This window comes from Homo sapiens, chromosome 3 (genome assembly GCF_000001405.40).
Source record: "Homo sapiens chromosome 3, GRCh38.p14 Primary Assembly".
Lineage (NCBI taxonomy): Eukaryota > Metazoa > Chordata > Mammalia > Primates > Hominidae > Homo > Homo sapiens.
The window spans coordinates 114866468-114879263 of NC_000003.12; the positions used below are offsets into that span (position 1 = coordinate 114866468).

General features: G+C 36.9%; 1 protein-coding gene and 1 long non-coding RNA gene across 10 annotated transcripts in view; one reads left to right on the forward strand and one right to left on the reverse strand.

Moving 5' to 3' along the window:
* ZBTB20 (zinc finger and BTB domain containing 20) overlaps window positions 1–12796 on the reverse strand; it is an 832789-nt gene that overhangs the window by 551968 nt on the left and 268025 nt on the right. Inside the window, exon 4 of one of the 9 annotated variants that reach the window (NM_001164343.2) lies at window positions 7572–7641. The exons of the other annotated variants lie outside the window; for them this stretch is intronic. The gene's annotated coding sequence lies outside the window, so the exon portion shown is untranslated. The remainder of the gene's footprint in view (window positions 1–7571; window positions 7642–12796) is intronic. 9 annotated transcript variants of the gene reach the window in all.
* On the forward strand, window positions 6566–10047 carry ZBTB20-AS3 (ZBTB20 antisense RNA 3). Its single transcript, NR_126422.1, has 3 exons — window positions 6566–6729; window positions 7445–7655; window positions 9878–10047. It is a non-coding gene; the product is annotated as a ZBTB20 antisense RNA 3 (long non-coding RNA).

Consider the following 12796-nt stretch of genomic DNA (forward strand, 5'->3'; position numbering starts at 1 on the left):
TAATGGCTAATTTTATAGGTCAACTTGACTGAGCCACAGGGTGCTCAGACATTTGGTCAAACATTATTTGGTGTACTTCAGTGAGAATGTTTCTGGATGAGATTAACATTTGAATCAGTAACTGAGTAAAGCAGATTGGCCTCCCTCATCTCCAAACAGTTGGAGGCTGGAACAGAACAAAAAGGCTGACTCTCTCACAGGTAATAGGGAATTTCTCCTGCTTGACAGCCTTTGAGCTGGAACATTCCTTTTTTTTTCCTGTCTTCAGACTCAAACTGGAAACATCAGCTCTCTGCAGGTCTCTGGCCTAAGGAAGTTCAGACTAGGACTATACCATTAGCTTTCCCAGGTCTCAAGCCTTTGGACTAATACGTTGGACTAACGCAATTGGCTCTCTGGGGTCTCTAGCTTTCTGACTATAGATCTTGGGACTTGTGAGCTTCCACAGTCATGTGAGTCAATTCCTTATAAAACATCTCTTCTATACAGGTATACATTTTATTAGTTCCAATTCTCTGGAAACATAGTACATAGTTTCTGACACCCAGAAATAGTTAATGAATGTTTCTTAAACTGCTTTCCCAAGAAAAGCCAACAGAAAAGGAATTATAGGATGAAAAAGCCCCCTTCAGTAAGAGCAAAGATAGGTCCAGATGAGGAGGATAATGTTCTGTGGGCACTCGGCTCTTAAGAGAGGAGCAGGGGTAGGGGCAAATTTTAAAACACGATCTGCAGCTAGGTCAGATGATAAGCTTGTTTATGAAATAAGAGATGGCAGGAAAACCAGGTTGATCCAGATATCAAGAAGAAAAGCCACTTTCATCTTCCACTACCCTAACTGGAAGGGAATCTTGGTTCCTTACCATGATAGCAAGCTGACTAGAAATATAGATGTGATCTTTCCCTTTGAAAAGTAACAGGTTACAGGGAAAGTGAAGGAATTTATAGAAAAGGTCAAGTTTGTTTAGTGCCTTACTGTGTACTACTTCAACCAATTCAGCTCTATCACCCAGGTTGGAGTGCACTGGCACAATCTCGTCTCATTGCAACCTCCACCTCCCAGATTCCAGCGATTCTCATGACTCAGCCTCCTGAGTAGCCAGGGTTACAGACGCACCCCACCACGCCCGGCTAACTTGGTATTTTCAGTAGAGATGGGATCTCACCATGTTGGCCAGGCTGGTCTCAAACTCCTGGCCTCAAGTGATCCACCTGCCTCCACCTCTCAAAGTGCTGAGATTACAGGAGTGAGCCACCGCACCTGCCCCAATCCAACTCTTACATACATACTTTGTTTCCAGCTATAAACCATAGGGGCATAAAAAGACTTCTCTATGGAACAGGTTAGGTCCCTGAAGTTTTCAGGTCTAAACATGCTGGAGATGGCAATTAAAGCTTTCTAATATATGCGAGTTACATTAATATCTTTGAAATACCCATTCAATTACCCCAGCTCAACACCTGTTAGACACCCTCTCTGTCAAATCTCTTCTGAATAACTTTGTTTAGTTAGATTTGGGGCCAGTATCGTAACTTCACGTAGTCTGTACAGGAAGAAAATAAGTAAGCTTTACTCTGGATCTCAGGGAACATGTGTTTCTCCCATCATCTAAGCTAAAAAACAAGGAAGCTGCAACAGCTGGGACAAGAAGGAAAAGCCAATTTGATTTTTAAAGAAAATAGAAAATAAAAGCAATTTGTCCAATTCCAATGTGTGGTATCTATGCTGATTTTTCTCAAGGAAAAGTGCTTATCATTGCCAAAATCCCCAAAGTAACCACAGCTGACAAACTTCTCAGCATCAGAGCACTTGGCAACTGACAATAAGACCTGCTCCTTCCCCAAGCGGATAAAAAGCCAGGAACTCCCCAAACAAAACCAACAGCTTTTCTGTACTCTTAGTCTGCCTTCATGTCTTTTGAGCACAGTATATTGTCCTGTGTAACTGGAGGTTCATGTAGCACACTGATTTTACCCAAAGCATCAAAACTAATATAATTAATTTATATAATCTTCTAGTTACACTGACTATAGAACTTACCTTCACTACCTACCCAAATGTCTGCTGCTGATATATACATATGATTGCACAAATTCTAAAGAGTACTCTCAATAAACAGAAATGTAAGTCTGCTAAAAATGCTTAAATATACAAAGAAATGCAAATATAAGCTCTCTACCATACATAGGATCTTTGTTTATACCAGTTGCACATGATCAATGGAAAAGGACATTCAAAACACTTTTGAATAAACAAATTATTATCTTGCATTAGCTTGTATCAATAGAATCCTTCCAAGTATTTTTTGTTCATAATAAAAATGTGTATAGGTTGGTTTGATTATTTTTTACTCTTATCATGGCAACTCAATATAACAATACTGTGCAGGTGGAAGAGGGAAGAGGGGAAAGGAGAGAAGCTGCAAATAACCAATTTAATTACCCTAACAGTCATTTTTTTTTGCAGGAAAAAGGTTCCATATGATAAGAATGTTTGTTCTGATCAAATATCTTTGCTCCATAAAGACCTTATGAATCTTCCTTCAATGTGAAGCTAAGCTATTTCTGAGGAGCTACTGGAACCTCCTCATTTTTTCTAGAGGTATCCATGTTCTAAAAATCTCAAATGATCTCAACTTAGGAGGTTACTGAAGCTACATAAATGTCAAAAGAAATGATAGATTTACACTTCTCCAATTTCTGCATTTGTTATGTAGCATAAATTCATGACAGAAAAAAAATGATCCTCAAAACTCCTTAGAAGCTCGCTCAAAATCTTGTTTTAAGTCTACTCAAACCAAACCAAGTTCTGCTAATGTAAACCCTTAAGATTTGTGGTAGTTTTTCATTCCCAATATTAAAATAGTCTTTTATTAATTCTCCATCACATCATATTTTCCCTTGACTACTAAATCAGGTCCACATTTGTTGCTTCTATGTTTTTGACATCATGGAAGAATCTGGAGCAGTGGTACATTTTGCTCTTCAGAGATATTTTATTGGTTTAAAATGTTTGATTACTAAGGGGTTTAATCTAGTAATACTAGATTAAGTACTGTCTACCATAGGAAAAAATTCATCAGACTTAAGGTGTTTCCTCTTAAGTGGAAGTAGAAAGCCAAATTTCAAAGCCTACCGTGTTAATAACAAATGCTTCCTTTTATATTTTCATCAAAAAACAAGCCTATTTCCTTATCTAAGTTCTGTGCAAGTCTTTCTGATTTTCTCACAATAAACTATATGTGTGAAATCCCATCAGTGTTATCACCAATATTTATTCCTGATGGCCACAGCTTTTCTAATCTTTGTGTAGCCATATGCTTAATGTTACATAACCCACTTGGAATTCCTTTCTTACAAACAAATAGCAAAAATGTAAGTTTATGAAGTATGCATTCCTTTTTTAATGCCAAAAATAAAAACAAAGGAAAATTTCTAAATTGGACATGTGATAATACATAAAATCTATCTGATAAAAAGTGTGTAATTACTGTCACAAAATCTTCACACAATCCTTGAAATCTCAGCAGTAGGGTGGCACCAAGTTCCCACACATCAATTAAAGCATGTACATATACGTCATTGGCAATAGGTCAGTCTCACAGAGAATAATCTCATGATGCCAAAGCTATCCTACCTGAACTTTAATTCCTGAATAACAATGTTGGCTAATAGTGTTTTACTGGATATTGTCTTACTTGCTAACATTTCTTATGGGGATCTTGATTAATTGGCTACCTAATCCCCAAAGATTATTCCAGAAAATAATAATGTCTGAAAAGTAGAGGTCTTTTCTTTCACCTATGCACAAATTTGTCATAGTTAATATGAAATTACTTTGTTCATCTGACCCCTATCAAGTAAAAACACATGAATTAAGATCAGCATGTAGGTGAAATGCACAAGAAATTAGGGCCATCTTGAGAGGACTGTCATCTAGTATGAATCACATACTGGTTGACCATTCTCCCTCCAATCCCATATTTTTATGGGGTTATACTTAATACGAAGAACAAGTGATTAATGGAGCATTAATCACAGAAGTCTACTGACTAAAAAGGACTGAAAATTCTGAGCCTTGCTTCAGTGGTGATGGTGGTGGGAATGTGGGAACAAAGTTGCTGCACAGGTAATCCCTAGTTTTGATCCAAAGAAATAGCAGCCAAGCAGAAACAGACAGACAGACACACGCACACACCCCTCAATATATATTAAAAAGTCAAATTTCATTCAGTTTCTCAAGAAAATACCAAGAAGAATAAGACAGAAAATCTCTGTTCTTAGTCTTGGCCACTTTATTCTCCACATGGACAACCACTTTGCATCAAAAGTCTCTCTCTACCCTTACTTTCACCTCTAAGTCTTTTCTCCATCCCTTCTATCCCTTATGGGTACTTTTCTTTCCTCCCTCCTCATTTTTCCTGTCTCTAGCCCCTTCCTTTTACCCAAGTGAAATTTTGTCACTTTTGAGTTCCCCTCCCCTATGATCACTTTTCCAGTTCTATTTTTCATTCCCCCAATTCCACACTACCCAAGTTTTGACACCTAGCTGGCATGAAGAGAGTTCTTAGAAGAAATGGAAGAGAATGAGAAGAAGAAGTCTTTTCTGTGATACAAGAAAGGAGAAGGCCATGACTACTGACATGAAATTAACCTTGTCCCAACCACATACACGTACACCTCAAAGCTTTGTAAACCACTGGCAAATACCCTCTTATTATCTCCCCTGCCCCATCTCCCCTTTCTTTTAATTTTTTGGTTAGTTACCAATCACAGGAGTTAACTTCCTACATAGAGGGTAGACAAATCAGGGCAATCTATGATCTCTTTAGGTCCATGGATAGATGTTCACCCCCAAATGCAGAGCTCTGCTAAATACATCTTTCAGTATCTCTGCCTTCTTAGATACTCTAAGCTATAACTCTACTTTAGTTTTAGGGTCCTTTTTGCCTTTTTCTGGCCAGAACATATTGCTTTTATATGTCTTCCTTTTCATCTTCCCAAATGCCCTAATACCAGCTTAGGCTAAATGTGCTACTGGTATAAAATGTATCTTTCTCCTTAAAAAACACCAATTATTCTCAACCTCTGGGATCCAAAGCATCCGGAATAGGGGCCCTCTTCAATAATAATCAGTGAGTGAGTGATCTTAAAAGATATGTGGTTTAGGAAGATGAAGTTAAGTATTTAAGGTCACAAATCAAGTGTGGAGTGGGGCTGCAACCCAGATCCAGATGTTCTTTCTGACATGATCTCTCATTGTCTTTTTTCTTGTATTAATCAGTTGCTAAGTCTTATTATTTCTTCTTCATAAAAAAGCTAATGATCATCTTATTGCAACACCACACTCTCTATACCACAACTATATATACTTATTTTGGAAAGCTAAGATTATTCAAGTAAGACTAAACAACACATAGGACCTTCAAAATATGCTCCTAATCTTCCCTTCTTGTCTTCGTTTCTGTCTCCTGGTCCCAGTTCCTCCCAACTTTATGTATGCATGAGTCTTTTCATGATCTTCTCTCTGCCTAGAGTTTACTTTCACTTCCCGCCAGGAAAAAAAGAATAAGTACCCTTTTTAAATAAGCAAACTCAAATATTATTTGCTCCATAAAGCCTTCCCAATATCTATTCCATGAGCCTTTCCCAACATCTCCACTTTCCTACTAACAGATCATATATCCTGTTGCTTTAAAATTCCTACTGCTTTCAAATTCTTTCTTCTTGCTAGATTGTGACATGCTTACTGGCAGAATCCATGCTAGATACTGGGAACACAAGGATTAAAACCACAACCCTTGTACTCAAGAGGTTTCCAGTACACTAGTAAGTCAAAAATATAAACAACTACGGCACAGGTCTGATGTAGAAAACATATTTCTATTTAATTGACTTGAATTATAGTTGCACACATTTTGTGTTGTAACCAAGATTATGTTACATATGATAATTTAAGTAGCCAAAAGTTGACTCAGGTTGAGTAGAGAAGTAAAAGCACATAAGAAAGAGAACAGGAAGAAATAAAACTGTAAAGATGTAATGGGAGAGAAAATACTGAGTTAACTGAAGTAATGGCTTAATGCAGAAATAAGACGTTTGGGGAAAGGAAGTTGAATTAGTTGAAGACATTTTTGGTAACAAGAGTCATGAAGCCTACAGTTGCCAGAAATAAAAAAAAAAAAGGACTGACTATGGAGTATTTATTAAATACTCATACTCACTGTTTGAAGTACAAACTAAGAGGAATCAGAGGATCAAAGTGGTTGGTTATGACTTGCTCAGCTAGTAACTGCAAGTGCCAAAATTCAAACTGTGGAATATTTCAAAGTCCGCCCTTTCTAAATTCAATTTTGGCCTAAATCCAAGGAGGTAGTGTCCACAGAATTAGCTAGAAATTACTTATTTCCTAAAAGATCAAAGTCCCAAAGAACTCTGTATGATTTCAAGGCTGCTCATATGGTAATAATGGATACATTTCACTTCATAGTCTAATCAACTAATAGACTTTAGGACAGTGAATATGAATGACATGAAGGTGCCTTGAGAACCATCAAGTCCTACCTCTTATTTTGAGACTAATTGAAGATACTGAGGCCCAGTAATTGAATCATATAGATTGCTAAAAGAAGTTCTGAGAAGAAATGAAATACAAAAGCTTGGTTTCTAAGGCTGAATATCATGAGAAACTATCATGTTATCCTGTGTGAGTGAGCTCCACGAGGCCAGGTATCTTGTCTCTTTTATGGTCAACTGTATCTCCAGTATCTAGGAGAGTTTATGGTACTATAACTAGCACATAGTGAGCACTTAAAAAAAATCAGGTGCTCAAATAACACGGTTTAGTGAAGGAATTAACGGGTTCATATATGTGAATGTGTGTAAAGTGGGTGCAAGCATGTAATTAAATGGAAAACTGGTCATATTTAGTTAGATGTTACTAAATTTATTTTTATTTGCCATTTGGATCACATGATTTTCTCCTTTAAACATCCCAGTGACATTATAAATGTCTTATGTAGCAAGGTCTTTGGCTTCAAATGCCTTCACCAGGAATTAAGAGTTTAGTACACCATCAATGAATAGAATTTACAAAGTACCCTTTGGGCAGAATCATTAAGGAATTAAGGAAAGTTTTTTAACATATTGAGAAATAACACAAAAGGTTCTGAAAATAAAGGATAATATGAATATTTCATCTTTGTCTTAGTTTTGGGGGGTGGGGAACACAGAAGCAATATTTCATTTCTAAAACCATGTTCCCATGAAGCTGAGCAGAAGGACTGCTTATAACATAATTTTCCAGCCAAATTCCCAAAGGGCCCCCAACAGGCTTTCTCAATTTGTGGGCGCTGTCCTCTAACAATCTATTTCTTTCCAGACTCTCCTTGGAAACCAAAGATTTATGTCATTCTCTTCATATTTTAAAATGAAATTGTTCCAGGTTAAAGAAATTATGAAAACTGAAAGCCTGTCTTTATCCAAGAACCAACACTGCCTGGACAAATAACTTATGAATACATCCTATTCTGGAGGTATCATCAATGACTTTGCCTCTGTAGCACTCTTACCATTATTTGGACATTTCCAGAAATCAAGATCCACTTCAGTTTGTGAAGATGAGCTGTGCTTAGACATAGGCTTAAAAAGAAAAGGTAAATAAATATTCTGTCAGGTTATATAGAGGGAAGCAGACCCTCCCTTTTATAAATAACGTATACATTTGCTTAAACTCCAGAGTAAAGGAAAAATCTCATGGACTGAAAACATTTTTTAAAAAAATGAATATTCACTAAACAATCCTGAAATGCTTTTTGCTCTCTGAATACATTCAAACAAGTAGATATCACAGCATTTCATTGATAGCTTATCAAACCACAGAATAGAACAGGAGGACAGAATACAAAGGGCATTCTTAAGGGAGCACCATCATGATTGTTCTGTAAAAACATATGAACATATTGCTATAAACTCATCTTCACAGGAAGTCACACAGCTTAATAAGCACAGACCTGCAAGTTAATATTAAAATTCACTTTGATTTCAGCAGCAGCAAAGCTGATCCAACTAGGAGCTATTACATAAAACCCTTATTGTCATATTCGTCATCACCACTCTCAATAGAGACCACTGCCAGCACCAAGAAGCCAGCCCTCAGTTCACCTCAGGAAACAGGCTACACAGACGGCCGTCCCAGTAACAATGCAGCAGTGAGATGGCCCTGTTTATTTTATCAGAATGGCACTCCCTTAATTTTTCAGTTCTCTTTATTGATGTCCTTTTTCATGTACAGGTCTATTAGATTCTACTTCCTTTACTGTCCTCCCAGGAATTGGTGCTTGCCAACTACAATAAGTTGTTTTGACAACTTGTCTAGCTATACAATACTCTGTTTCCTTCCCTCTACAGTCTTTTTGGCTTCAAATGAGTGCCTTCAAAATATAGCAGAGACTATCCAACCAAACTATGCTACAGGGGGGAGGAGCTTTCTATGTGTAAGCAATGTCCTGCCCAAACTACAATCTTTCATGTGCTCATAGTCCTCTTTCTTTTCCTATTTATTTTTATGGATAAATCCCCCTTGCTATCTTGTCTACTCCTATCTTAATAAGGAATGACTGCCGTGACTACCCCCATCTAGCTATGCCATTCACCGCCAGCACCTCTGCTCTCCTCGTGTGCTTCAAGAAGAACTGATTAGCACTTTGCATAATTAACCTGATTAGCACTGTGCATAATCAAACTGATTAGCACTTTGCATAATTAAAAAGAAATAATAATAATAACAATAATAAGCACTAAGTAATATCAAAAGCTGTTAGTCCCACAGCCCTTTGGTTACCTCCAAGATTAGTTCAGTGCAGCATATTTTGCACCTTCACATTGAAATCTTTTCTTTAACTCAAAAGTCAAGAAAATAAATTAAAATGCTTGCAATCCACAGACTCGTTATGGTTTTCATATCCATACCAGTTACCAAAATAATCAGTTTCTTACCCATACACATCTCCCTCAGTTTGGGTCTTACATATTTTACCCATGTTAAAATGGAGAAAATGGGGATATAAAACCAAGTGAATGAAAAATATTTAGAATAACATTAGAAAACAAGATATATGATGCGTATAGAAGCATAGAGAGAGTTATATAGAACTATATAACCCTCCCTTGTGTTGCTTCTGGGTGACAATGAGGCATGTGGAAAGAACTGGACAACCTATCAGAAAAACCTGGCTATGACATTTCCTGGCTAAGTGATTTAACTTTTTGGAACCTCAGTTCCCTCATCTGCAAAATTAAAATAATAACACCAGTTCTGCTACCTCAATAACTGTAATTAAAATAATAATTTAGGAAGGTGCTTTGTGAACTGCAAGACACTTTACGTACATGAGGTATTCCATTCTAGGTCCCTAAATCTCCTATCCCCCAAATTTTATTTCACACCATGGACAATATTATACATTATGAATAATAAATTTTAGGCTCAGTGCAGTGGCTCACACCTGTAACCCCAGCACTTTGGGAGGCCAAGGCAGGAAGATCACTTGAGGCCAGGAGTTCAAGACCAGCCTGGGCAAAACAGCAAGATCCCCATCTCTACAAAATTTTTTTTAAAATTAGCGGGGTATGGTGGCATGCACCTGTAGTTTGTTTTTTTTTTTTTTAATTTTTTATTCTCATAGGTTATTGGGGAACAGGTGGTGTTTGGTTACATGAGTAAGTTCTTTAGTGGTGATTTGTGAGATTTTGGTGCACTCATCACTTGAGCAGTATACACTGCACACAATTTGTAGTCTTTTATCCCTCACACCCTTTCCCCCTGGTCCCTAAAGTCCATTGTGTCATTCTTATGCCTTTGCATCCTCATACTCAGCAGGCTGAGGCAGAAGGATCGCTTGAGCCCAACAGTTCAAGGCTGCAGTAAGCTAAGAAGGTGCCACTACACTCCTGTCTGGGCAACAGAGCAAGACCCCATCTCTAAAAAAATAAGATAAAATAAAAATTTATATTTATAATGCCTTAAAATTAAAAAGTTATAAAGTCCTGTTGCATGCTTTGCCTTATTTCTTATTCAGGGCTGAATGTGACTAAAATTTTGACTTGGAGTTAAAACTGGACTCTAGTAATTATTGTTTCCATCACAGCTCTCATTTGTGTTTCTGTGGAGGTTAAAATCAAGCTGTTGCTGGAAATTCACAAGAGAGGAGAAGAAAATCTAGTACATTACTATTAATTTGGGACTACAACATAAGAGAATTCTGCAACTCTGCTTTTCTCCACCCTACCATAGCCAACCATCTGTTCCTTACCAACTTCGAGGCTTAGTTCAGTTCCACTTTCCTCCAAGAAACCACCTATGATACCCATAGATTGGAAATTCTCTCTTTCTCTCTAATGCTTCCATAATATTTTATCTCATGCTTCCATAGTACAGTGTACTATTTATTAAATATGTGTATATCTATCTGATACCTTTAGTAGATTAGCTGCTCCTAAACAGAACTATGCTGCCTATTCATTTTTGCCCCAGAAATAGCTGCCACAATAAATAATGTAGTGGTGAACACTCAACACCTTTGTTACAGTTGGCTTAAGGAAACTGGATGGTAAACTATTTTTTTCACTAGGCATTTACTATATAATTGCTAAATGCAAGCCTGAGAAATTGTTTCAATAACTATATGCTAGAGAATACAAAGGTGTTTGACATACCCATAACTACTTAATCAACCATTAAAACCAACCATTCATTTATTAAAAAATAGATAGAAGTGCTAGTAAATACTAGGCATTGTGCTAAACACTGAATACAGCATTGATAAAGTTTAAAAGGAACTGTTGGTTCCTCTCAAGGAGCTTATAGTCTAGGTCTCTATTAAGAAGTTCATATTAGAGAGGCTGGAGTGGAGTAGTGTGGAAAGGAAACCTTAAAATAGCAAGATACACATCATGGAGCCACTAAGCCTCTATCAACCTACGGGAAAGGAACCCAAATAAGCAGTCAGTGTTCTTGGGCAAATCATTCATTTTACAATTCATTTAATTCAAGAAGGAAAATGCTGCTGTGGAGATTATTCAAGTCCAAATGTTCCTGGTGAAGGTGCTTCCAGTAATTCTGGGAAAGAAGCCAATCCCTTAGTTTTATATGTAAATATTTTTAAAACACACACATATATATAAGCACAAAAGAAAGGTCAGGAAGACGTAAGTCTTTTAAAAATCTATTTTAATAATTTTTTCTATAACTGTCCACAAAAGTTTGGGCTTTTTTTGTAGCCTTACATTTTCTTTTACACAATACACCTGCTTTTTTTTCTAAACTAAATATTTCTTCCATCTAATGACTCTCTTTATTAGACAGCATCTAATTTGCATACATTTACATACAATTTAACTGCTAGCTTGTGAGAACAAAGAAATGGCTCTGTATTGTACTGAAGGACAATACTCAGTAAAGGAAGGTATAAAAACCAACCAGCTTGGTGACTGTGTAAGCTCTTTGTTTCAGATATACCAGGCTCCCTCTTTCTCTTTTAACATACCATTTAAAAGGGGCAAAAATTATTTCATCAAACAATGAAAAAAAGAAACAGCCCTACTTTGTTTAACTGTCCATTTCCTCTCCAGTTTGGTTACTACAATTCAGGGGTCCAAGTTCCCTGAATCTACTACAATTTCCTCTATTATATTTGATAGATTTAATCCCTTTATCTATTTTTGTTTCGTGTCTCATTCCTAAAACAACCTGGGATTCCACTGCGATAAAGCTCTGTTCTGATGCTAATTTGTGCTGCCATCGGCCTTGTTCCCAAGCAGACAGGGTAGAATATGGCATCATGCTCTCCAGTGAACAATGCATACACTTACCCTTAACAGGTTAATAGATTTTATTGAGACTTTGGGTCTTTATCATATGAACCAGCTCTTCAAAAAGAAATGGTTTTCAGCATCTACTGGAGAGATGATGGAAAAGAAGACTTGAATATAGGGAGGGAAATGGTAAAATAGATGTTAGGGGTAAAAGAGTACTTGAGTCAAATGTTTCTCCACTCAGCAATGCTATCCCTTTGTAAGTCTCCAAACCTGCATGACTCTTGGAGAATTAAAAAAAAAAAAAAAAAAAAGAACTGAAAACCAGGGACCCTTGACTCTCCTTTGAAAGTAAATTCACATACTCTGTGATACGGGGTGAGTCACTATGACTCTTCTCTCTGTAGCTCTCATCCTTGACACATGGAAAAGGAGATTATGTAAAGCAATCTTGAAGAGGTTTGTTCAGTGTTTTGTAAATATTAACAATTATTGAAAACACACAAAATAACTAATAAAGCTGCGGTCACAACCAACTGAAAATAAACACTAGGCTCATTCAAGTTTCTGAAATGCCATGTCTAAAATAACACACAAAAAAGAAATATGGTACACAAAAATGCTTCAAGATTATAACAAGCTATACAAATGTAAAGCAGGACATAAGGGCAAACTGAAAATTATAAAGCCAGGTACGAATTGGCACCAAAGCCTCGATGGAATTATCATCCGTATCTGGGTGCTGCAAATGGTCATGGGAGATGCATTTCCTTGGACATATATTTAACATTATTAATTTGGCCTGTTTTCTGCATCTGATAATGCAAATTTACAATTTTAGTGACCCAAAGAAGTGTGAACTTGTCAGTGATAAGTGAAGAAATTCTACCACTCTGTGGGGCTGCAGAATGCCCACATAATTTGGAACCTTTAGCAGCCAAACAGATTGCACAATCTCAACTAGCGATCTTGAAGCATGTCT